Raw genomic sequence first — 27,160 nt, 5'->3', positions numbered from 1 at the left:
TAAGAATAATGAACTTAAATCTGCTAATATGTCATTTACAAAATAGATGTGAGACTATATCCTCAAACCCCAAGAAAAGCAATTTTAACCAAAAAAGCTATAATTACTCTGTAAGAGTTAGCCTCAAGAGTTATCTAGAAGGAGGAATGGAAAGTACAATGTCTTCAGATGCTCAAAAAGATTAAGTAACAGTAGAATAATGTGATATAAATTGAGTCTGAAGAGTGTTTAGTTTCAGCAAGAGGAAACAATAAGAGCAGTACTTTTAGAGAAATAATCAACATTAATTGTATAAAACCTTGAGTCCTGCCAGTCTATCCTATATGGCAGTATATCCATTTGTATTTCTTTTTATGAATTAAATGGATTTTAAGAAATAAGCAGCTTAGAGAAAGGCTGTGACTTTTGATCAAAACAAAGGAAGGGTGAAGGGTTTCCAAATAAATGAGGATAAATGGAAATAATGTTCATTGACGAGGCATCTAACATTGATGATTCCACTCTAAGTGTAAATATTCATAGTAAACACTGGAAAATTTATGTTAATTTAAAAACTGATATTACCTGTTGAATCTCCTTAAGGTAAAATGTTAAAGCTTTTCAGGCGTGAGTCTGGTTTTTAACCAACACCAGAATGAAACAGTCATCTTTTATACATACTTGTCCTGCTGCATTTAATTTTAGCAACTTGTATCTAAGAACTCATTCAAAGGGATAAAATTACATAATTTTTAAAGCCATATTAAATTGCACCAAAACAACAACAAACCCTTGCTCTACTATAAACAGCCCTGAAAGTCATGATATTTTTGCTACTCAAATGATATTTTTGTAGTAAAATTATCATTAAAGTAATATATGGCTCTAACAGAAAAAATCTTATTGTATTACAGAATGTCATATTGACAGTCAAAATTTTATAATTTGATACAGGTATCATCTAACTTGGATTTGTACTTCCAAAAGTCATCATGATTTAGAATGCTGTATTACGGACTGGTTATATTAACTAAAACTAAACTAAAATTAAATTAATTTTAAAATAACTGGAAAAGTCATAAATGTTTAATAAACAGTAGATGTTTGTATTTTTAAGAATTTCACATTTGCCTAACTTATACAAATTGCCACGTGATAAACTCATGCTTCTCTAATAGCTAAATTCTGAGCTGTCTGGTTATGTGAATGAAAAATGGTTAATTGCAACTTCTTTTTGAAGTAATTGTGATAGCTGATATATATTTTTTACATGAGTAACTGTATATTACTTGACTAATTTGTTATTTAGAAGAATAAATCCCATGTTAATGTCTTTAAATACGATAGCATAGCAAAAGTGACCAAAACGAACCAATATGTAAAATGACACTGTAACTATTTATTTATTTATTTATTTATTTATTTATTTATTTATTTATAATACTGTAAGTTCTAGGGTACATGTGCACAATGTGCAGGTTTGTTACATAGTTATACATGTGCAATGTTAGTTTGCTGCACCCATCAACTCATCATTTACATTAGATATTTCACCTAATGCTATCCCTCCCCCTGCCCCCCAACCCTATGACAGACCCTGGGGTGTGATATTCCCTGCCCTGTGTCCAAGTGTTCTCATTGTTCAATTCCCACCTATGAGTGAGAACATGCAGTGTTTGGTTTTCTGTCCTTGTGATAGTTTGCTGAGAATGATGTTTTCCAGCTTCATCCAAGTCCCTGCAAAGGACATGAACTCATCCTTTTTTATGGCTGCATAGTATTCCATGGTGTATATGTGCCACATTTTCTTAATCCACTCTATCATTGATGGACATTTGGGTTGGTTCCAAGTCTTTGCTATTGTGAGTATTGCCACAATAAACATACGTGTGCATGTGTCTTTATAGTAGCATGATTTATAATCCTTTGGGTATATACCCAGTAATGGGATCAGGGGATCAAATGGTATTTCTAGTTCTAGATCCTTGAGGAATCGCCACACTGTCTTCCACAATGGTTGAACTAGTTTACACTCCCACCAACAGACGACACTGTAGCTTTAATTTAGGGGAAATACTTACTTCACGTGTCAGGGGGCCAATTCTAAATTCAAAAACAATCAAAAAATGCATTTTGTTTTCATTTCAGTGTTGATTACTGTCACCACCCCCAGACAGAGTTTTTGATCCCTGGGGCTATTGCTTGCACAGTTCAAAGGTAATTAGAGGCCGGGCGCAGTGGCTCACACCTGTAATCCCAGCACTTTGGAAGGCTGAGGTGGGTGGATCACCTGAGGTCAGGAGTGTGAGACCAGCCTAGCCAATATGGTGAACCCCCGTCTCTACTAAAAATACAAAAATTAGCTGGGCGTGATGGCTGGCGACTGTAATCCCAGCTACTCTGGAGGCTGAAGCAGGAGAATTGCTTGAACCCGGGAGGCAGCGGTTGCAGTGAGCTGAGACTGCTCTGCTGTACTCTAGCCTGGGCGACAGAGCGATACTCCGTCTTAGAAAAAAAAAAGGGGTGGGGGGTGGGAATTAGAGACTTCTTCTTTCTGCTAGGATAGAGTAGTTGCAGCACATGAATGCTTCTACAGCTAACTAAGTAAGCTGATTTTAAAACAAAATGTTTCCAGGCACTGCAGAGCAGTGGAATCTCAGATAGGACTAAAACTTCTAGATGAGAGGTTTCTGGTAACCTGTACCCCCTTTTTCCTGGTGGCTCACTAGATGGGGCGAGAGTTACAGCACAGGAGATCTCAAATACACAACTGGTTTCCCCTCAGACATTCACAAATACTGAAGCTTTGAGGGCAAAAGACTAAAAATCTAATCATGAAAACATTTGAAAAGTAGAGGCAAAATTTTCCATCTCTTGGTATTGAGGAGATCTGGCAGGGAGAGGGGCCCCACTGAAAGCCCTTGAGAGGGGTCCTAAGGAACATGGGATAGCCAGAGGGAGACTGTGGCTTACCAGAATTGGACTGCACCCCGCGGAGCTCCCCTCTTATTGGACAAGGCCATCAGCACCCCAACTGCCTAGCTGAGGACATGGCAAACCCTCTTTGGGAGAAGATGTCATCACCTAAAGTAACTCAAGTGTATAATATTTCATACCCAATGTATGGCAATTGACAGAAAATTACCAAGTACAGCAATAGATAGAAGCAGGGAAACAGAATCCTGATGCTGAAGTCATCTGGCAAAGACTTTAAAGAAGCAATGATGTACATAGAAAATGGATATATTAAGTACAGCCTTTGCCAGAAAATTAAAACCAATAGAAAAGAATCAAATGAGGATTTTATTACTGAAAAATAGAATAGCTGAAATTAGGAACTTTATGCATGTGTTTAGCAGGAGATCAGGTAGAGCAGAAAGAGGGTTCGTAAACCGGGAGATAGGTCGACTGAAAATATCCGGATTGAAAGAAGGTAGAGGAAAGAAAGGGGAGAAAGTACATAGAGAAAAAGGAACAGAGGGACACAATGGAATGATCCACCGTATGTAATTGGAGTTCCAGAGAATGGGGTAAAGCCAACTTTTGAGAAGATAATAGCTTCTCATTAAGCTTCAGGATAAGCCGTAGGATAAAAACAAGAAGCTCTGGTAAGCACATCATAGTTAAACTGATGAAATCCAAAGACAAAGATAAAAGTCTTAGAAGCATAAGATGGGGGAAGATAGTTACCTTCAAAGGAATGACAAAAAGACTAACCATTGACTTTTCAGAAGATAAATGACATTCCTAAGTGCTAAAGAGAAAAACACCTAACTTTGAGTTCCCGCTATATATATTGTGAAATTACTCTTCAAAACTATAGGTGAAATAGTGATGTTTTCAGACAAACAAAAACTGAGACTATTTATCTCCAGTGGGATTGCACTAAAAGAAATACTAAAGGGAACTCTTTTTTTTTTTTTAGAGGAAAATGATCCCAGACAGAAACACAGATGTGTGAGAAGGATGAAGAGAAACAGAACAGATTAAAATGTGAGTAAAGCTCTGCTTCTTGATTTGAGCGCTGTTTACGTGAAAGAGTTCCCTTTCTGAAAAATTCATAAGCTCTGCACTTAAATTTGTGCACTTTTCTGTGTGTGTGTTGTGCTTCAGCAAGAATTTTACCAAAATAAAGCAAAATAAAAACTGCTTAGAGGAAAATTGACAGTCTCATTGCATACATTAGACAAGAATGGCTACAAACCAACGAGCTAAGCAGCAATCTCAAGAAATTAGCAAAAGAACAACAAATTAAATCCAAGGAAAGTAGAAAGAAGGAAATGATAAAGAATAAAGAGCAGAAAGTAATTAAACAGAAAACAAACATATATAGAGGATCAAGAAAATCAAAAGTTAGATCTTTGAAAAGACTAATAAAATAAAAAATCCCTGGTGAGGGATATAGAAGGCAAGAGTGAAGAATATGAAGTATGAAAACAGGGCATCACACAGCACTGACGCTGCAGTCCCCTATCCTGGATGGAACCAGCTGAGTACTTTCTAAGCCTATCCCAAGCATTCAGGCTGGAGGCAGGGTATCCCAGCAGTGTCTCCCAGGCCAACGACAAGAGCAGCAGTAATATCATCACTGAGTCTAGTGCCTTCTGTGCCACAAAAGTCCCTAATCCTAGATCACTGGAGTAGGTCTCTGTGTTTCAATCTAAGTGGAGAGAATAATCTTGGCTGGTCAGATGGTGGAGGACTGAGTTGCCTGAAACCAGTTTTAGCTCTCTGGCACACAGGACATGGCAACTCAAAGCACATAAATATGCCAGGCCATCTGGCATGGTGCATATTCAATTGGTAGTTGCTTCTCCCAGTTGCAGTTGATTCAGATTCAGGGTGCAGGAACTGGATGTTTGTTCCTTCTAAGGGGCCCCTGACACTGCAAATGCAGCCTTCACAGCAAGTGAGTGTCTTCTATAAAAAAAAAGACATTGTGCTCCATTGGTGTGGGATTTCATGAAACTATAATGTCTGTAGGTTTAGAATTTGCTGGAATTGTTGCCTCTTGGGAGACAATGATCTTGGCTATTCGGCTGAGTTGGAGAGGCCATCCAGCAAGAGCATCTGAAGACACTGAGATGCTGTGATGAAGCAGGTTAGTGTCAGACTGTTAGAAGAAAAGGTGAGAAATGAAGTACATGCACATACCATCCTGTAACACCTGGGAAATAGTGTGTGCCTTCCCACAACATGTTGCAGCATGCACTGGCCACTTGGCTGACCTAGAGATGTCACCTTGGGGCTCTTGGCCACTTGACTGACCTAGAGATGTCACCTTGGGGCTCTCAAATATATCTTTGTCTGGGTAGGCTCAGAGATGAGTCTATATCAGATGACTCAAACAACTCAACAAGAAAAAAACAACCACATTAAAAACTGGGTAAAGGGCATGAACAGACATTTTGCAAAACAGGAAATACAAGTGGTCAACAAACACATGCTCAACATCACTAATCATCAGAGAAATGCAAATTAAAATCACAGTGAGATATTATACTAGTCAGAATGGCTATTATTTAAAAAGTCAAAAAACAATGGATGTTGGCATGGTTGCAGAGAAAGGGGGACACTCATATACTTTTGGTGGGAGTGTAAATTAGTTCAACCTCTATGGAAAACAATATGGAGATATTCCAAATAACTAAAAATAGAACTACCATTAGATCCAGCAAACCCACTACTAGGTACCTACCCAAAGGAAAAGAAATCATTAATTAAAAAGACATCTGCACTCCTATGTTTATTGCAGCACTATTCACAATAGCAAAGTCATGGAACCAACCTAAGTGTCACCAATAGTTGATTGGATAAAGAAAATGTATATATACACCATGGAATACTACACAGCCATAAAACATAAAATCATGTCCTTCGCAGCAACGTGGATGGAGCTGGAGGCCATTATCTTAAGTGAACTAACTCAGAAACAGCAAATCAAGCATCACATGCTTTAATGTATAAGTGAGAGCTAAACAATGGGTACACATGAGCATAAAGATGGAGATAATAGACTGAGGACCCCAAAAGTGGGGAGATTGGGAGAGGGATAAAGGTTGAAAAATTACTTATTGAGTTCAATATTCAATATTTGGGTGATGGGTAGATTAGAAGCCCAATCCTCATTATTATGCATGTAATACCCTTATAACAAACAAGCCATGTACCCCTTGAATTTAAAATGAAATAAGAGAAAATAAACAAGAAAAGAAAAAGTCATGGTCTGCACAGAGTCCTGAGAGGGAAGCTGGATTTTCTTTCAAAAGTCCAAATCTTGGCTGGGAGTGGTGGCTCACACCTGTAATCCCAGCACTTTGAGAGGCTGAGGTGAAGGACCACTAGAGGCCAGGAATTGGAGACTAGTCTGGATAACATAGTAAGACCCCATCTCTAAAAAAAATTTTTTTTTAAGTAGCTGGGCATGGTGGTGTGTGAGTGTGGTCCCAGCTACTCAGGAGGCTGAGGCAGGAGGATCACTTGAGCCCTTGAGGCCGCAGTGAGGTATGATCCCACCACTGTACTCCAGCCTGGGCAATAGAGTGAAAGAGAGAGAGAGAGAGAGAGAGAGAGAGAGAGAGAGAGAGAGAGAGAGAGAGAGAAAGAGAGAGAGAGAGAGAGAAAGAAAGAAAGAAAGAAAGAAGAAAGAAAGAAAGAGAAAGAAAGAAAGGGAGGGGAAGAAAGAGAGAGGAAGGAAGGAAGGAGAGAGAAAGAAAGAAAAAGAAAGAAAGAGAAAGAGAAAGGAAGGAAGGAGAGAGAGAGAAAGAGAGAGAGAGGGAAAGGAAGGAAGGAGAGAGAAAGAAAGAAAGAAAAAGAAAGAAAGGAGAGAGAAAGAGATAAAGACAGAAAGAGAGAAAGAAAGATGAAGGGAGAAAGAGAAAGAGAGAGATGAAGGGAGAAAGGGAGTCAAGGGAGAAAGAGGAAAAATGAAGAAAAGGAAAGAGATGGAAGGAAGGAAGGAAGAAAGGAAGAAAGAAAAAAGAAAGAAAGAAAGAGAGGAAAGGAGGAAGGAAGGAAAGAGATAAAAAAGGAAGGAAAGGAAAGGAAGGAAGGAAGGAAAAAGAAAGAAAGATTCCAAATATTGTAAGAATTTGTTTTGTGAGTATCTAAGTCATTTTGGACTGCTATAAAAATATCATAGACTGAGTTGCTTAAACTACAGACATTTATTCCTCACAGTTCTGAAGGCTGGAAAGTTCAATGTCAAGGTGCTGGTGGATCAGGTTTCTGCTAAGGGCTCTCTTCCTGGTTTGCAGATGGCTGCCTTCTTGCTGTGTTCTCACATAGCAAAGGGAGAGAAATCATGTGTCTCTTCCTCCTTTATAAAGGCATTAATTCCATTAGGAGGGCCCACTCACAAACATTAGTCTATAGCAGCGAGGTTGTAAGGTCACCATAACCACTTCATATGTGTCAAGCAGCTAGACTTCCATTTAACTGGTTCTGATATTTGAATATTAATTTTTTATATTGAGTTTGCCTGAAATGTATTTTTCTCTAATTTGGGAACTGCTGGTGATTAGGCTAGCAGTAAGGGTAAGGCCTGATTGTGGATTATTTTGACTACTTTTTTCTGCATGTTCCTGAACTCTTTCTGCCTTTTCCCTTCTATTATTGACTGTTTAAAAAGAATTGACATAATCTACTCTTCCCCTTCTGAAAAATATTTCATCATATTATTTTAATACTTAACCTTTTCATTGTTGAAGGGTTAGGCAGGTTTTAAGTGTTTAATTTTCACCAGAAATTTATGTTCTGTGTTATAGAAAATTCATATTGTAAAATAAGCCTCTTCTTTTCGAGGGTAAATATGAAGAAAAGAACAGAAGTTCCAAGAAAAGGCTGTGTCTGTAGGTCCAAATTTCTAGACTCGGTATAGAGATAGAGTATTTCATATGCCATTCTCTGGTAGAGGGTAGACTATTTGTAACTGTATTTTCCCCAAAGGATATGAGAAGCATAATGTCACAATTTCTCCCCTCTAAGGTGGGTTCTCTGATTTGGGATTTAAATTCATAAGCCTTGGATAACCTGGAAGAGACTGACATTCATTCTAATGACAATAAAACAAGGATGACTTTCTCCTTTTTCTTTTCTGCTTTTTGTCTGCTTACTTTCCTCAGGTAACACAGCTGGCAACAGCAATGTAAGTCTAAATATGTACCAGGTTCTGCAAACTCTGGTTTTGCTTAGAGAGAAGGAACAAGGCTTAGATTAGTAGCTGCTGCAACGGATAAGGGTTGTTTGTGTCTAAATTTTGTGGGTGTTGGCGGATTTTTCAATATTCTTAGGTACCATATTGACTCTAGAATTTTGGGAACGTGTGATACATGAGACAGAGACATCTGCATTAACAACATTTTGGGAGAGGTTTTGTATATTTTTGTATTGTTTGGACTCTGAACACTTTCCTGGTTGTTGAAAGCTGGAGTGGACAATGTAGCTGGCACCATTTGACAATGGCCTTGCAGTTGACTAGAGACCTATCTTGACTGATGTCAGAAAGTCCTGAGAGTGACCTCCGAATTGGTCCTGGGTAGATAAGATGCACAGAAGCTGCGAAAGTACTCAGGAAGGCACACACAATGTTCAGGCAGGACTTTCTGAAGCTCCACAGATCTCTGTCCTCACCAAAAACAGCTGTGGCTATGCACAACCATTGACTTGGCTGAAACACTCAATAGGTTAAAAGAGAGAGGTATAACGTAGGAATAAAGTGGAAAAAGTGAAAATTCTCCCTTTCCACTGCTTTTCTAACATCCGTTTCCTGGTCCCAGTGGAGGGAGGAGGAGTTGCTAAACTGGTTGGTCAGATTCCCAGTGTGGATTGGGCCATGTTTGACAGAGAGCAGAGTCCTCTGTTTTCAAAGGTGGTAACTTTCTGCCACCTCTTTATTACAAGGGGAAGGTAGATAGGTCAGTTGACTCTGTTATCTCCCTGTGGCTGACCCAGAGACCATCTGGCCCCTTCCCTCTGCCCGCATTTCCCTGTCTCTTCCTCTAGCAGGGAAACCCAACGTTTTGGGCTCAGGGGCATCTATAGGAAAGACAAGATGTAATGGCTGCTGTCCTTCAGCATAAGTCTCATGCTTCCTGCACTGGAATACTGAGCACCAGCTTAATTCATTCATTATATAATTGAATACATACTTATTAAGCCTTCTAAGGGGAAATGCTACTAGCAATAAAACACTCTTCTAAAATGTTATCTAGGTGTTGAAATTATAGACGATTTTTGCTTTGATCTTTTCCTCAAATTTTCTGTAGGGAATAAGTAATACTTTTATAAATGCATATACAAATGGAATCCATCCATACATAACAAATGCACCAAAACAGGGGCGATTCTGGATTTACCTGTGAGGAAGCGATTGAAATCCTGTGTTGCCTTTTCTTTTAATGTGACTTTCTCTACAGCTTTTTATAGGAGGCACACTGAGCTCCCCACTTGGGATCATCTGGATATGAGAAAGACTGTATACTAACCACCTTGATCTTCCTTCCAGACCTCCATTTTGGTAGAATGTGATAGTCTAGTGATGTCTGTATTCTCTGATGCCCCCCACATTTCCTTGCCTATCATACCAGGGAGGTAAGGCCCCCAGGAATGACTCCTACTTCAAAGTTCTATCCAGTGGATAAGCCAGTACTGAGCTCTCTATGGGACCAGAATTTTGCACCAATCCTCTGCCTTAGTCATGGGACCCCTACTGGCCTACTTTGGTCTATTGGCTAAAGAGCAGTCTCTGAAGGCAGGCTGTCTTGGTTCCCATCCCAGTCCTATCACTTGTTTGTTACCTGTGACTATGGGACCGGTTGAATTATCTTCCTCTGCCTCAGGTTTCTCATTAACAAAAAGGAAAAATAAAAATATCTGCCATCTAGGGTTCCATAAGGATTAAATGAGGCAATATATTTAAGGTGCTCAGCATGATGCCAGGTACATTGGGATGGCTCAAAGAAGTTTAGCTGCTGGTATTATTAGTGTTATTCCTCTACTCAGGACAGTAGCCTTACCCCAAACAACAGCCCAGGGGTCGGACCTTGCAGCCCATGTACTGTTCCCCAGGGATGAGCACAGGCCACACTCCTGAAGTGACCGCAGCCGCCTTTGCTCCCATCTGCTGTGTCTGTCTGTGTAATTGGACACCGTGGTGATCAGCTTGCCATGCCCTTCAGACACTGCCTCACCCACCTGGCTGCAGGTCCAGACACAGAATCTTAGTTAGGTCAGTGTCCCTTGTCTGCCCCATATTCTTGCCTGCCAAATTTGGCCTCTCGCCACACACACCTGCAACAGGCCTTTAGAGCAAGGCCCCATTTCAAGAATGTGGCCTGTGCGCATGCCTGGGGATCTGTATCCATCTCATGGAGATCAAAATGGGTTAACAGTCCCTTCCTTGGGTTGTTGAAGTCTTTAGAGGGTCTCAGCAGCCCGGGTTGAGGTTCCAGCTCCGTGTGTCTGTGATTTTGAGCAAAAGAGATTCATTTTGTATGTAGAGTGGCTTTGAAGAGGAAGAGGAGAAGCTTTTTATTTATTTATTTATTTTTGTAGAGATCCAATTTCACTGTACCACATCTGTGTAGATGAAAATCACTCCTGAGTTCTTCCAATTTCTTCTTATTATTTCTCTTCTTGTTAGGAAAGCGGGCACTGTAGAATGGTCAGCAGAAACACATTTCTTCCTGTCTCTTTGTTCCCATCTTGCACCTGCCACCTGCGTCACCCACACTTCTGGTCATCCCACCCCTAGCCAGTCAAGAGCTTCTAGGAAAGTCCTGTCCCATAACTGTTCTCTGGATCCTGTTGCCTACTGACTCCTCATGGCCTTCAATCCATCAAACTGCCCTTCAATGTCCCATATCTCTGACATTCCCATGGGCTCTGCCATGGTGCTGAAGCACAACAGATAATCCTGACCTCAAATCCCAGCTCCACCACCTACCACTCTGAACCTTAGGCAAGCTGCCATGATGCTCAGAGAATAAGATTTCTCACTGGATACAACAGTGATGGCGTCCACCTCATGGTAACATCCTTGCCAAGAACGTTGATACCTGTAAGCACTAAGTTAATGAGAGTCCCTATTTTTATGGCCTATTCCACTCAGTCTATAAACATGTGCAAGCTCACCCTGATCTTTTTTTTTTTTTTGAGACAGAGTCTTGCTCTGTCGCCCAGGCTGGAGTGCAGTGGCGCAATCTCGGCTCACTGCAAACTCCACCTCCTGGGTTCACGCCATTCTCCAGCCTCAGCCTCCCGAGTAGCTGGGACTATAGGCACCCACCACCACGTCCGGCTAATTTTTTGTATTTTTTTTAGTAGAGATGGGGTTTCACCATGTTAGCCAGGATGGTCTCGATCTCCTGACCTTGTGATCCGCCCGCCTCAGCCTCCCAAAGTGCTGGGATTACAGGTGTGAGCCACTGTGCCTGGCCCCACCCCGATCTTACATGGATGAAGCTAGAAACCATCATTCTGAGCAAACTATCGCAAGGACAGAAAACCAAACACCACATGTTCTCACTCATAGGTGGGAATTGAACAATGGGAACACTTGGACACAGGGTGGGGAACATCACACACGGGGGCCTGTCGTGGGGTGGGGGGAGTGGGGAGGGATAGCATCAGGAGATATACCTAATGTAAACGACGAGTTAATGGGTGCAGCACACCAACATGGCACATGTATACGTATGTAACAAACCTGCACGTTGTGCACATGTACCCTAGGACTTAAAGTATATAAAAAAATAAAATAAATAAATAAATAAATAAATAAAAGACTTCCCTTTGATTTTATTCCTCATTTGGTTACCTTCTCAGAGCCACTGTCATTGCCAGCCATCCCACAGGACTGCTGTATTCCCCTGGCCTCTTCTTTATCAGTGCAGACTCACCAGAGGGTCACCAACCACTCCAGCATGTTCACGCCTGAGCTTTTTCCTGGGACACAGAACTATTAGGGCCCAAACCAGGAGAGTTCCAGCAAACCAGGATGAACCAGTCACTCTATACCTTTCAGCCTACAGTCTTTCTCACCAACTCCTCGAACTATTTAGACAAAGCCCATAGCCCCCACATGGCCACCCTCCACAGGTGACTTCTGTATCTTCTGTGACTCTGTGGCGCTCAGCAGGTCATATTGATGACATCCTTGATGGTTTCTCCTCCCTTGACTTCCAGGGCCTTGCTCTTGATGGTTTCTCTGGTGCTCTGGTTACTATGGCTGTATAATCATCAAACCAAAAACTTGACAGCTTCAGCAGCACCCTCTTATTATCTCTCAAAGTTCTGTGAGGTGTGGGCTCAGCATGGCAGTTCTCCTGCGGATCTCACATGCTGTTGCCATTGACAGCAGCTAGGGCTAGACGTATGATGTGGCCTCTTGCCTGGTTGAGGATGGCTGGAAACTCTGGGCCTGCCAGCATGCTCTTGTCACACAGCCCCGAACACAGCTAGCCAGGGCTTCTCCCAGCCCAGCTGTCTCAGGGCTTTAAGAGTGAGTGTCCCAGGAGGGAGGAAGTGGAAGCTTCCAATATCTTGAGGCCTAGGCTGGAAGTTGGTACTTTAGTTTGGAAACCAGCCCAGGTCACAGCACCCACCCAGGCTCAAGGGGAGGCGACATGGACCCCGCCTCTCAATAGGAGGAGCATCAGGGAATTTATGGCCACCCTTAACCTGCCTAACTCCATGATCTCTCTTTCTCTTCTTCTTCCTCTTGCTCCTCGATGGAATTCCGTCCTCAACTCTCCTCTTCTCACAGTCTGTATCAGTCATCTTCACATTTACAGGCATATCAGAATAACATGGCATGCTTATTAAAAAGAAAGGCTCTTGCCTATGGAATCTGCATTTCTAATAACCACCCTGGGTAAACGACTGCCTTGCAATTTTCAGCAGGCTACACTTTGAGAAACACTACTTTACACTCCCCCTACACAAAGTCCTTCACACCCTCACTTCACACAGCAGTTGCTTGTTCCTTTCCCATCTCTGTTTCAAAGCCGGGTTCTTCTCCTTAGCACGCCGTGTCCGGGCAACTGTGTGCTGCATCTTTCCAGCCCACAGACACTTCAGCCTGAACTTGGTGTCTTCAATCCCCAAACTCGCCCCCTTTCTGACCCCTCAGTCTTGGATGATGTGCCGTAGAGGCAGCTGATTCTCCTTCTGCCCCTTTCCTCTCCCCAGGCACACATCCAGTTCCTCACCAAGCCATGTTGATCTTACCTCCTAAGCCTCTTTCTGAATCAGCCCCTTCCATTTTTCTCATTCCAGGTGTTCTTTGTTTCTCACCTGTTTTTATGCCATAGTTTCTTGGTGGTCTCAAGCCTCTAATATCAGCACCTTACAGTCTTCTCGCCACACTTCTGCCAGAATGCAGTTTCTAGAATGCAAGCCTAATCGGAATGCTTTTTCTACTTAAAGCATTTGCATAGCTCTGTGTGCTCTGCAGGCATATGTCTAAACTGCCTAGAACCTCTGACCCTGGGCTCCTTCCCTGGAATGTTTCTTTTCCAATTCTGTCTCACCTACCCCAGCCTCACCCCTTCCCACCCCTGTATGCCACTTGGCCCTGAGCCCAGACCTTCCTTCCCAACTGGCCGAGTTCCTGTAACTTGGAGGTGATTAGGTCTTTGCCCCAAGGTCAGGCTAGGGCTCCTCCTCTTACTATTTCACACAAAGCACAAAAAGAAGTACATGCTTGTCTCCCCAGTGTAATGCCAGAACCTTGGCATGCAGGGACGGAGCCTGCATGTCTAGATCTGAGCCCCTGGAGACCAGCACGATCCCCAGCAGGCCTCCAGCACAATAGGGCTAAGAGAGACAGCTGTATCTGTTATGTTCTCACACCGACTTGGCAACTTAAGGTTAATCCAGAAAAGTGTGACTTTGGGTTAATAGGGCCTTGACCCTTTATTTATGTCGATTGAGTGTTTTCTTCTCATTGGGAAGATCTGACATGTATCTGACTGGAAGCCGGCACCATCGTTTTGTATTGCTGCGAATCTGAATGGAATGTTCCGGTTATATCTTTCTGGCTGTTTTCTGTAATAACGCTCAGTCATGCTTTGTTATTTAATCTGAGGGACTGAGACCTCCATGCACTGCAGGTCAATTTTGATGTCCCCCAGATGCAATGGAATCCTTGATGTGCTGAGAAGTGACTGCACGCCTGCGTCTTGTCTTCCCACGTGGGCTGGGCCCTCCACTGCCACACGCCATTGTCTCATTGGCCGTGTTCAGTCAGATTGGCCTCTGGCAGCCCCATGCAGTTCAGACAGGGACCAGCAGCAACCGCAGCCCCTCTAGTTCACTGCTTCTTCTGTGTCCCATGTTGCAGGCCTTGACTGGGATTGCTGAAGGTGGATATGTTTCCCTGAAGTTGCCTTGCACGAATAGTCACAAACCCTTGTTTTTTTTGTTTTTTGTTTTTTGTTTTTAATTTGAGACAAGGTCTTGCTCCATAGCTCAGGCTAGACTGCAGACCTCCCCAGCTCAAGTGATTCTCCCATCTCAGCTTCCCAAGTAGCTGGGTCTACTGGTGCATGCCACCAAACAGAGCTAACATTTTTAAATTTTTATTTTTTGTAGAGATGGAGGTCTCACTTTGTTGCCCAGGCTGGTCTTGAGCTCCTGGGCTCTAGTGATCCTTCCGCCACTTCCTCCCAAAATGCTACGATTATAGGTGTGAGCCACTATGCCTGGCCCCAAATCCGTTTTATCATGTCATCCTAAAACTAAAATAATAATGATAATAATAATAATAATAATAATAATAATATAAATGGTTCATAGACTACATAAAGTCTAAGCACTTATCTTTCCTGTACTTCTCAGCTCCACCCTGCCGTGCCTTTAATCTTGCTCTTTAATCACTATTATGTTCTTTCTACATCCCATTAGCACACAGGATGCATAATATCTAATATATGATATCACATGATGCATGATAACCTCAAAGGGACAAAATTATCACTGTATGAATATTTCCAACCCTTTCACTTGGGGCTGCTAGAGAGTGCCTATGGACTTGGTAGCTTGGGCTCCTTCCTCTACCCAGGGGATGCCTCTCTAGCAAGATTAATTCTTTTGGGATTTTAAAGCAAAACTGGAAGGAAATAACGAAGGGAAGACCAACATGAGTACGAGGTATAACCAGAGGTAGGTTTATGGAGAAGTTTAGGTGGTAGGGACAGCAGGGAGGGGAATTAATTGTGTGGTGAAAGGATAAAAAGAATTTCAGGAGTATCACTGTGAACTCTATATTATTTTCCTAAAATTTAAGAAACACAAGTAAGAATATAAGCAACACGAATTACTTCACGACCGTTACACAGTGCAATTTTAACCATGATTTCAATTTAGCGTAGTGCTAAAGTGGGTGGGCAGCGGTGGGGGGAGTCTTGGTTTCCACGGAGCTCTATAAAAAAATCAGATGGCACAATAATATAAATACGCCTATTATCTTGCAGATATGTATATGGAGTCATACTTTTTCCTAACAGAAAACCTGTGAAGCAGTGCAATGATCACACCTTTACGTTGCACAGGTGGGGTTCAGTCTCCTCATGTAGACTTAACCTTCTTAAGGGCTTAGCGCCTATGGCCCAAGTATTTATTGTAGCACAGATTGAGACATCTCCTTGGAAATAACACAACAGTGATTGAAAATGGCAGCCCGCGGTGCAGTCCTTAGCCACACTGGCTCTAAAGGCAGAGCAGTCCTGGTGAAAACATGCCCAAGTTGAAATAAAAGGCTCTAACAACATGTCACCTTAACCATCTGGACTGTGGCCTGATGAAGCCCCTGTGTCTAGTCTTGGTGCTGGTGCCTCTGGTCCCAGCGAGCTTGTTCTGGCTCTGGCTGCTTCGCCGCAGGGAAACATTGCTCTGAATGTCAAGGGAGAGAAGGCCACCGGCTCCCCTGGAGCCCTGCTTTTCCTCCAGTGCCCTTTGGTCTCCAGCTTTGGCTGCAGAGCAGAGGGTTTCCCCACAGAAAACTCTCAGCATAAAGCCATTCATGTCTCAATTGTCACCAAGACACCAATATGTTCATTTCCAGAGCAGAAATAAAAGGTGGATGTACGATCCTGCCCTGTTTCCTCTCAGAGTGACACCTGTAATTCCTAATTCACAGCCCTCTAATTATGGCAGGGGGTCTGGTGTTGACTGAGCTCTTACTGTCCCTGACACATGGCTGGGCACTTCTCCTGAGTTTTTTCAGGTCATCTTCATGGGGCCGCCTTGTGGAGGACATATATCACTTTCATTTTATAGATGAAGAAACAGAATCTCAGAGTCCAGAGGGCCTCCCTGGGCGTGGGGTTGAGCCCCAAGTCACCGTGGCCATCATGCTGCCTCTGGCTTAGAAGCCACTGGCTGAAGCCCAGAGTGAGGAGGCAGATCCCGACAGCCCCTACCTGTGTGAGGTTCACCTCACCATGGTCAAGGGGGGAGTCATTACAAACTGTCAGTAAGGTTGGCTGCTTAGATTTTCTGTTATGTATCATCAGGAGCCCCTGTGTGTTTTTAAAATATGGGATGATGATTTAAATGGGATTAATGCCCTTGTAAGAGAGGTTGAAGGGGCACCCCAGCCCCTTTGGCCCCTCTGGTCCTACGCAGAAACAGCAAGAGGGCACTGTCTTTGAAGCTGAGCAGGCCCTCAGCAGAAGCAGAATCTGTTGGCACTGTGATCATGGACTTCCCAGCCTTTAGAATGGTGAGAAATAAATTTCTATTATTTATGAATTCCCCAGTGTAAGGTATTTTGTTATAACAGCCTCAACGGACTGAGACAGATGGCATGATGGAAAAGGATTTTAAAATGAGGTGCTAAAAAGGTTGAGGGGCGTTCTTCTGATGGGTGCAGGGAATGATGAGACCACAGCGTGCAGCAATCTGGGTGTGCATCCAGCCAGGTTTCCACACGAGGAAACGAGGGGCAAGACAGGCCGAGCCTAAGACTGACCCGGGAGGTGAGGTGGGATCCGGGATGAGTGGTGCTGACTGGCGGGGGCAGGACACTAGGGCAAGGCACGGAGGTTGAAAATGACTCCTGATTTCTCATTTATGCCTGGACAGCTGTGAGGAGGCGGTGCCTACGACAGTGACGACAACACAAGGGCGGGGGAGAAGGGCAGCCCCTTTGGCAGTGGTCTCTTTTTGCTGTAATCAGAGGTCAGTCCAGACACACTGCCCAGTTCTTCCTACTAAAATTGGATGAACAAGGAGGTACACAGAGCAGATCTTGGCCAGAGATCAAGACAGGATACCTTCTTTTCAGGATCACCTCATCTCAGTGTTCTGGGGCAATCCAAGCCCTGACTTGGAAGGATTCTGACAAAATACACAATGAACAAGGACTGTGCTAGCTCCCTCTGAAGGTCTGAATGGGCCAGCGGAGCCCAAATGCATGTATTAAAAAATGATAATTGAGTTACTACAATAATACAGTATCATATGACTTTATAGGATGGGTCAACTTAAGATTTCACCAGTTCTGTCTTCTGTCAGTGTTCAAGTTTGTATCTTTAGAGTTCTCATGTTATAGCCATTGACACTATGGTCAAATAGCCAGGTGCCCACTGGAGAAAAATTATGCCAGAGAATAAGAAATGATTCAGGCTTTATTTTCTTTAGTATTTTTATCAGGTATGTTACTCCTTGGAGAGTGCAGAAAATATTTGTTTAAAATATTCCTAATTTGATGGTACTTTCAAAATCAGATTTAGTCAGACCATTAAAAATTGTATAAATCAATAGCAATTACCTACTTCTAAATTGAATCATTATCCCCAAAGAAAAGTGCTATTAGAACCCTGCAGACTCCAGGTCATCTGCAATATACATCCAATCTCATAAAAAGAAATAACAAAAGGAAAAAATAAAGGGAAAAATAAAAACCAAAATAAAAGGTACACCTCATTTTATTTTATTATGTTAATTTAATCCCCAGGTAGAAAGAATGAGCTTCTGTTGTACTTCAATGTTTAAAATCTGGCCAATTTTTAATGTTTACAAAATTATTTTTAATTTTAAGAGAGTATAATTTACCAATTAGATTAATTGTGTTTATTACTGCCGGGAGACTGCAAAGAGTCTTATTTTTAGTTCATAATAGAAGCTTCTGTAACCCTTTGGATCATGGCTGGGATTCTGCATTTTTATTATAGCAAGAGAGCTTTGATGCTTGGATGTGTTAGGGAAGGATAGCCATATGAGAACGTTTCGTAGAGCCAATCTCTCCCTACTTGTTAATTTGGCACCTCTCAATCATACATTTTTGAAAGCACTAATTATTTCACATAACATGTAAATTTATATAGCATCTTATATACAATTTTAATGCATTCAGATCCCTAAAGCTATAATTCATTATAGCATCTTATTTTATTTATATTAATATATGTGCCTTGAGTTAATACTCTAATCATTTGCAAACTGAAGCTTTGTCTCAATAAATTTTTACTTTTTGACAAATTATACTACATTAGTTTGATATATTTGCAAAATGTAAGTACCTGCCTTTCCCATTGCACTTTCATTGATATTCCCAAAACACTGGGACATTGCTAGTCCAACAGGTATATTGTGGACCAACATCTTCTCAAGTCTGCACAAAAACATTTTACAATGTCATTATCTAAAGTGTTCAACTTTCAGTTATTTGGAATATGCCTTCTGCAAGCCTTTTTTTTTCTTTTTTGAGATAGAGTTTCACTCTTGTCGCCCAAACTGGAGTGCAATGGTGCGATCTCGGCTCACTGCAACCTCCGCCTCCCTGGTTCAAGAGATTCTCCTGCCTCAGCCTCCTGAGTAGCTGGGACTACAGGCTCATGCCACCGTGCCTGGCTAATTTTTGTATTTTAGCAGAGATGGGGTTTCACCATATGGGCCAGGGTGAAACCCTAGGTTGAACTTCTAACCTCGGGTGATCCCCCTACCTAGGCCTCCCAAAGTGCTGGGATTATAGGCATGAGTCACCGCGCACGGTCAAGCCATTTGTTTTTTATAGGATGCTGCTGCTTGACCAAGTTTGAATATGCTTTCATTCCATTATGCCAATGTTTATGTATTATAAAGAGATGGTTTTATATTATAATGTATTTTTGTCGTTGTTGTTGTGTTTGTTTTATGAGACAGGGTCTCATTCTGCCGCCCAGGCTGGAGTTCAGTGGCCAGGCTAGAGTTTAGTGGCACTATCATAGCTCACTGCAGCCTCAACTTCCACGGTACAGGTGATGCTTCCACCGCAGCCTCCCAAGTAGCTGCGACTACAGGCATACATCATCATACGTGACTAATTTTCTGCAGAGATGGGGTTTTTCCACATTGCCCAGGTTGGTCTCGAACTCCTGGGCTCAAGCAATCTGCCTGCCCTGGCCTCCCAAAGCTGGGATTACAGGTGTGAGCTACCTTGCCCGGCCTATAATGTATTTCTAATAATACTTAAAGTGTGTTTTCATACTGCCCATGAGGACAATTATATGAAGTGGTTATTTGGAATAAATATACAAGAAATGTTCTATATATGTTACAGAAATCTTTCAAAACTGCTTTGAAGAGAATGGCACTAGGGCTGGATTAATTTACAACACAAATTCCCCATTTTTTGGTGTGTTGGGCCATGCAAATGAGGAGATAGTCAGGAGATCATATAGTATCAAAGTGTAGAAGAGATGTGGCTTTATGGGATGTGGTCACTGCCCTTTGAATCTGAGTCAGGTATATTGAAATTCCCACCTAGGATTTCCTCTTCCTTAATATTTATCTTCTGGACTTAAAAAAGATAAAAACTTTCAAGTTGTGTTTGTGCCAGCACCATTGAGAACTGCTACTTTACTGTGACCTTAAAATGGGTTCTTATGTCTATTTCTCAATTAATTAGAGGCCAAAGGGAAAAAATTGGTGCATGGTGAGAGAGAAAAACCTCTCTTACCAAACTTCCATTGTAGGTTTGTGCACACATTCGAGTATTATGTCTAACAATCACTACTCATGCAAGTTTGTATCCTTTCCATTCTTCTTGAACTTTAGGAGGTTTATATCAGGTACCACTTGCTGGAGCCATCTTTACACCCCAAATAAGCCCATATTTCCTATGCTGAATGATGCTATTTGTTAGGTAATGGGAGAGGTCAACATGACCAGGGTGAAGGGTGTCTGCTGGGGAGGATGGAGAAGTAGGGCTGTGGGCTGAGGGCGAGTTTATGTTGGGGCTTGGCAGCTGAGCAGAGAGATTGCAGCTGATGCAATAGGAAAGAGGATCCATGGAGCTTTGGGGCAGATGGTAGCAAAATTGGGTTTAAGGGATTTTGCCTGGCATGGATTAGAGAGGAGAAAAGCCAGAGCCAGGGAGATAAGTAAAGAAAAGAAATTCTGGCCAGGTGCGGTGGCTCACGCCTGTAATCCCAGCACTTTGGGAGGCCAAGGCAGGTGGATTGCCTGAGGTCAGGAGTTCGAGACCAGCCTGGCTAGCATTCTGAAACCCCATCTCTACTAAAAATACAAAAAATGGTGGCAGGTGCCTGTAATCCCAGCTACGCGGGAGGCTGAGTCAGCAGAATCGCTTGAACCCGGGAGGCGGAGGTTGCAGTGAGCCGAGATTGTGCCATTGCACTCCAGCCTGGGCAACAAGAACGAAACTCCGTCTCAAAAAAAAGAAAAGAAATTCTCTTGCTGGGAGTTTTATTATGCCTATCTCAAACACAAGAGCCAGAAACCATATCTTACAAAATCATGTTCCCTCTACACCCTGATAGCATAAAAATTTCCTCGTTGTCTATTCATTCTGCATGAGCCAACACAAGAAAGAGCTATTGGTGTCATTGCCGGGAGCGGGGATACCATAAGTTTCTTCAAAGACAGACACCAGGACTTTCATCTTCACATCTATAGTCCTTGAAATACAGCAGGTCTTACAAAAATGTTTGTCAAGGGAGTGAATGAAAATAAGAGTGAATGAAAATGAAAGCAAAATATACTTGAGGATATAGTTTTTCCTGGACCACAAGTCAAATGCCAATGGATAACTTCAGATTCCTAGCCATGCATCTTTTTCTCTGAGAACTGGATAGCCGGAATAACAGATCACTCCATTTCCTTTCTGACATGCCACATTGAATGAACATCTGCTAACAACCAGAAAGTGCATGAAGAAGTTTGTCCATGAAATCACTCCATACCCAAGTGGAGGAGAAGGAGCTGTGGACTGAAGGTAAGCTGTGCATTCCCTCAGCTGGCAAATGTCAAGCCCATAATCTGAGCTTCGTATGTAGGAAATACCTACACACGAAGCCCACCTAGGTATTTCCTCATGCAATGAGAAATACACCAGTATGGGGACCCATGAAAAAAGCCTGCCATAACTCTGATAATGATTTATTTTCAAAGGCAGAAGAAAATTTTAGAAAACATATAAATAAGATATATGATAGAAAGTTTATACATTCAGAAATGTCAGTAGATTAAAAATCAAAGAAACAGGCTGGTAGTACCAATGTCTCACAGCCCTCCGGGGGAGCTGTGGCCAGAGCCAAAGGTCAGAGCAAAATGTGGAAAATCACTGACAGACTGGGACCATGGGCAGGAAGCCTTGAAGGATTTGGTCAAGCAAAGGCAAAACTGGAGGGTAGGATGCCTGTTGAGAAGACCTGGTCTAACTATGGCCACATTGGAGATGCCCCCGGAGGAGCCATGGAGTGAAAGTTAAGGGACCTGAGCCAAAGGGTCCCAAGTCCAGAGGCTTATGAATAGGAACCAACTCTTTCTTGGTATTAAAGGGGCAGCCCTCTGGGCTGGTTGGCTGGCTTTTATCCAACTGCCCTAGACCTCACCACTTACTACTGAACATCTTTTTAAGGATCTCTTTAAATCTACACCTCTCTTTTAGAGGGCCCATTTCTTAGTGGAGGCAGTGCAACGGGAACAAATAATGAAACAGTTGAATTCTGCTTCATCCATGTCTGCCAAGCCACAAGAATGGTAAAGGTACTCACGTTCCACAAAGTACGAGCTGGCATCGATCTTCCAGATGATCTGGCCCCGATGAGAACCATTGACTCCACGGTTTTTATAGTCCAGAAAGTTTTCGGACAAGACCTCATCTATATTCCCAGAGGAAGAAAGCAGAGCAGAGAAACATATCAGTCAACAGCATATTTAGGGGAATAAAAGAAAAGCAAAGGATACAAATGCTGCTTCCATCTCAACAGAAGAAAAAGCACCTGGAACCAGAGAATCAGAGAGCAGGAAGCACCCCAAGACGCCATTGGGACCAAACGCTTTTTATGCCGGGATCGCCTCCCAACCCCATAGCACTGCTGGCAGGAGATCATCTAGCTGGTTCTGGAACACCTCCAGAAACAGAGAAATAATTACTGCTATCGCGGTTCACTTCACTTTTAAATAGCTTTTCTATGTGTGAAAGCTCAGTGTGAAAATCTTCCTCCTAAAGCTTCTATGAACTGATCCCTATTTGAGCCTAAGGGCGAGACATAAAGAAAAAATCTCCCTTTGGGGTCTAGTTCTCACGGACTCCACTTCGAATCATCTCTCCTCCCACCTGGGCATCACCACCATCCTATACATGGTCGCACCCATGAACTTATCCATCCATCCATCATGCACTCATGCATTCATTGTTCATTCAGCAGCTGAAATCTAACCATCTGCCAGATGCTGGGGAAGGTGCAGGGGCTGTGGTGTTGGGCAAAACCAGTATGGTCTCTTCTGAACCAAAGCTTACAAACAATTGAGAAGACAGACTGTAAACACTAAGCAAAGGAATAAATGTTTGATTGTAACTTGTGATAAGAGATGGAAAGGAGGCGGGGTGCAGTGGCTCACACCTGTAATCCCAGCACTTTGAGAGGCCGAGGTGGGAAGATCACCTGAGGTCAGCAGTTCGAGACCAGCATGGCCAACATGGTGAAACATTGTCTCTACCAAAAAAAAAAAAAAAAATTACAAAAATTAGCCAGGCGTGGTGGCAGGCACCTATAATCTCAGCTATTTGGGAGGTTGAGGCAGGAGAATCGCTTGAACCCAGGAGGTGGAGTTTGCAGTGAACCAAGATCATATCCAGCCTGTTTACATAGCGAGACTCTGTCTCACAAAAAAAAAAAAAAAAAAAAAAAAGAAAAGAAAAGAAAGGAAAAGAACAGGGTGCTGTGATAGAGAGTGACAAGGAAGGAGGCCGGCGGGTGGGGGGCGGGTGGTCAGGAGAGCACTGAGGGAGGAGACGAGGCCTGGGAGGAGCTCTGGGTGACAGTGTGCTTTCACCTCCTGCTGTTCTCTGCTCATCACTTTGCAACCTATCGATGTTCTCTCTTTTTTTTTTTTTTTTGAGACGGAGTCTCGCTCTGTCGCCCAGGCCGGACTGCGGACTCCAGTGGCGCAATCTCGGCTCACTGCAAGCTCCGCTTCCCGGGTTCACGCCATTCTCCTGCCTCAGCCTCCCGAGTAGCTGGGACTACAGGCGCCCGCCACCGCGCCCGGCTAATTTTTTGTATTTTTAGTAGAGACGGGGTTTCACCGTGTTACCCAGGATGGTCTCGATCTCCTGACCTCATGATCCACCCGCCTCGGCCTCCCAAAGTGCTGGGATTACAGGCGTGAGCCACCGCGCCCGGCCCGATGTTCTCTTTAAAACCAGTGCCTGGAGAGAAATGCGGCATTCTTGAGGAGGACAGATCTGAGAATACCAAGCTGCCTGTCACCTCCTTGGTTCCAGACCCCACACTTTCAGTGCAGACTAAGACAGGGATGTGGCTTTCACCTTGATCTTCTATGGAGCCCTTGTAGTTTCCACTTCACCAGAAATAATCTGAGCTAGGTGGATCTGAGGCTGTGGGGAAAACCAAGTTTTGAGAGTCCAAATCCACCGTAGGGGCTGGAGGGACAACCTGGGCAAGGGCACCTGAGGGCAGGCCCAGAGCCCCAGCTCTGCAGAGAGCCCTTTTCATGATTGCCCTTTTCTCTCCTGACACCCTGCAGTTCACATGCTGCATCTGGCTGGACTGAGAAAACAGACAAGAGATGAAGTGCAAAAAGCACTGAGCTTGAAGCCAAAGGGCCCAGCTCTTGCCTTTTGTGCCATTTGCCAATAGTGTCACTTCTATAGTCTTTCTTCATCTGCAAAGTGGGGAGTACTTACAGGGGAGCACTAAATGAGATAACTGGTAAGCCTACTTGTAATCTGCTATGTGGATTGCACATTTTAGGCTGCCCCTTCTCTGGCAAAAAAATGACTGGGCAAATGAACACTCATTACCGATAAGAACTGTTTGTATCCTTTGGAAAATCGCTTGTTTGCAAAATTTGCCTGTCTTTTTATTCACAGTGTGTGCTCACAGCCCTGTTTGGGTTACCATGAAGATTGCATAATACATCTTTTACAGTAATTGCCTCATTTCTGCAAAAAGGCATAATATTTTCCTAGCTCCCTGGGTCTTCAGCAGAGATATAACAAGTTTCACACCCAGGTAGAAATTTGCCTCATTATAGCAGTTCTCCAAGGGATAGTATTTCCCCGAATTTCTCCACTCTGATCACTGGGATATTCCCTTTAATAGTCAGGGTCAGGGATTTATAGACAATAACACCTGGAAGAAGGATGTCCATTCATGCATGAGATAATGGGTATTGGGTACTTTGTTCTGTTCCAGACATAGTGCTAAACCCTGGGGATACACTGGTGAACAAGTCACGGTCTATGTTCTCAGGGAGTTTCTAATATATTTGGAGATTTATTCAAGAAAACAGGTAATTTCATTAGAATATAGAATGTACAAAAGGGGGTTAATTATCAAGGAACCACAGGAACATGAATGAGAAAAGGATGAAGGGGAGGTGGGAAGAATCAGCAAAGGATGACGAGGATGGCAAACACACACACACACACACACACACACACACACACACACACACAATAATGAGAAAAAAGTATATTTTGCTGTACACATTTAAACACAATATATTTTAAAGGACTGGCTGTTAGTCCTGATAAGCATCCCCTTCCCTCACACTAACAATAACACTTAATCACAAGTATCACACAAGAAAAATAGAGTAGTCAGTATTCTTGCCTGGGCTGAGAGGTCAAACCCTTCCCCAAAGGCATTTGTTACCAGTTGTTAGAAAAGTTACTAGTCTTTGCTTAGGAATCAAACTGCATTGACAGGGTCAGCTGCAGAAATCCAAAATCAGTCTACATATTTTATGCAGAAAGGGATTTAATGCAGGGAATTCAGGGCTGGAGAAGTGGACTCTAGGCAGGGCCTCTGGAATCAGGATAACTGCCTAACTGGCTCTCCAACGAGGCTGATGCCTTTGCCTCACTCGCAAGGGCTGCCCTGGGACCTGCTGAATATGAAAACTCAGTACAGTCACTGCAATCTGGAGGGCAGGAGGCTGCTGTCCAGGCCATGGCGGCTGTCTCTCCACCGGCGAAGACAGTGACCAGCCAGTGGCAAGCGGAGTAGGTCACTGCCTGCCCCCACCCCCACTGCCTGTTGGTGTCCAGGAAGCTAGAGAGTAGACACAGGATGCTGCTGCAGAAAAGCTCCATTTCTCAAGGCCATGCTTGTAGCAGCCACAGGCCCAAGAGCCTGGTCTAAGACCACTAGCTGTATTAGCTCAAGGAATCCTTTCAACAAGATTTTGAGGTAGGTGCTTATAGTATTTATCCCTATTTTGTAGTGAATGATTAAATAAACTGCCTAAGATCACATAGTAATGGTAGATGTAAGCTTCCCCACATTTCACATATTCACCTTCCCGATCTTGCACAGGTGCAGCTAAATGAATCGAATTTGCATCCAGAACATGGCTGCATGGGAGTCTGGGAAATGTAAATTTAGAGGACCAGATTCTGCACTAGGGGAAGGCACAGGAGATGAGAGGAAAGAAGAGAGTAGAGGGGAGGAGACGGGACGGGAGAGGAGAGGAGAGGAGGGGAGGGGAGGAGAGAAAAGGGGAGGGGAGAGGAGAACTGGAATGGATGCTGTGGGCCAAGCCACACTCTCCACCTCAGTGTGGAATGGGTGCTCTAGGCTCTCTACCAGGAGGCTGTTATTTTCTGCATTCTTGTCATGATGGAAGCCTCTTTGTGGGAGCAATATTACATCCCCTTTGAGGCAGGAAGCTTACATCTACCATTATTATGTGATCTTAGGCAGTTTATTTAATCACTCACTACAAAATGAGGATAAATACTATAAGTACCTACCTCAAAATCTTGTTGAAAGGATTCCTTGAGCTAATACAGCTAGTGGTCTTAGACCAGTGTCCAACATCTAATAAGCAGCTATTTCTGCTTAGAATCTGGGCCAAAAATAGGGCCCTCTATTGCAAATCCCTATGACACTTACTATGTAAAACCATTAATAATAACTTGAAGCACTAGCTCACATCAGTACTGTTCAAGATTTTGTCATCGTACATTTTGTACATAACATGTACAGAAAAGTTCCTCAGGAAAAGATTACATTTTCTGAGTGGTATGCATTTCTTCTGGTGTGTAGAATCCTACCACCTGCTCCTCAGTTTATAATAGAGAAAGGATCTTTGTGGATTATTATAATTTTAATCAGAAAGGTCTAATAAAGCTTACAGAAACAGACATACCTAAGAAACAAGTAATATATTTTCTCTGGATTTGTCTTCAAAATAAAAATCATAGCTATGATTTCCATGCCATAATCTATAATAGAAGAGTGGACAACAAACATGCTATTGCTGTTAAGAGTGGAATGAGCAAGTGAGCCCATAACTGATTAAAAGAGAGAATCAATATACTACCCAGGTCTCCTACACCCATCAGAAAAAAGATATGGCTTCCATTTTTCAGAGTAATTCATGCTTTCTGACAACCAAATCTTGGGAAAAAATCTCCCAGGATTCTCCCACTGTGGCTGGACCATGACTTCACTAAATAATGGGACAGGGCCAGGCGCGGTGGATCACGCCTGTAATCCCAGGAGTTTGGGAGGCCGAGGTGGGTGGATCAACTGAGGTCAGGAGTTTGAGATCAGCCTGGCCAACATGGTGAAACCCCATCTCTACTAAAAATAGAAAAATTAGCCAGGGGTGGTGGTGCATGCCTGTAATCCCAGCTACTTGAGAGGCTGAATCAGGAGAATCGCTTGAACCTGGGAGGCGGAGGTTGCAGTGA

The 27,160-nt window shown here is 43.1% G+C and overlaps 1 protein-coding gene across 17 annotated transcripts in view; it reads right to left on the bottom strand.

Annotated features, from left to right (window-relative positions):
* The window catches only part of HECW1 (HECT, C2 and WW domain containing E3 ubiquitin protein ligase 1), a 453,355-nt gene that overhangs the window by 223,276 nt on the left and 202,919 nt on the right, over positions 1 to 27,160 (bottom strand). For all 17 annotated transcript variants that reach the window (NM_015052.5, XM_017011883.3, NM_001287059.2 and 14 more), the window contains one exon: positions 21,984 to 22,091. In NM_015052.5, the coding sequence (NP_055867.3) occupies positions 21,984 to 22,091 (108 nt within the window). The remainder of the gene's footprint in view (positions 1 to 21,983; positions 22,092 to 27,160) is intronic.

Source organism: Homo sapiens, chromosome 7, assembly GCF_000001405.40.
Source record: "Homo sapiens chromosome 7, GRCh38.p14 Primary Assembly".
NCBI classification, from domain to species: Eukaryota; Metazoa; Chordata; class Mammalia; order Primates; family Hominidae; genus Homo; species Homo sapiens.
The sequence above is the reverse complement of the archived record's forward strand: the minus strand, read 5'-3'. Positions and strand labels throughout refer to the sequence as shown.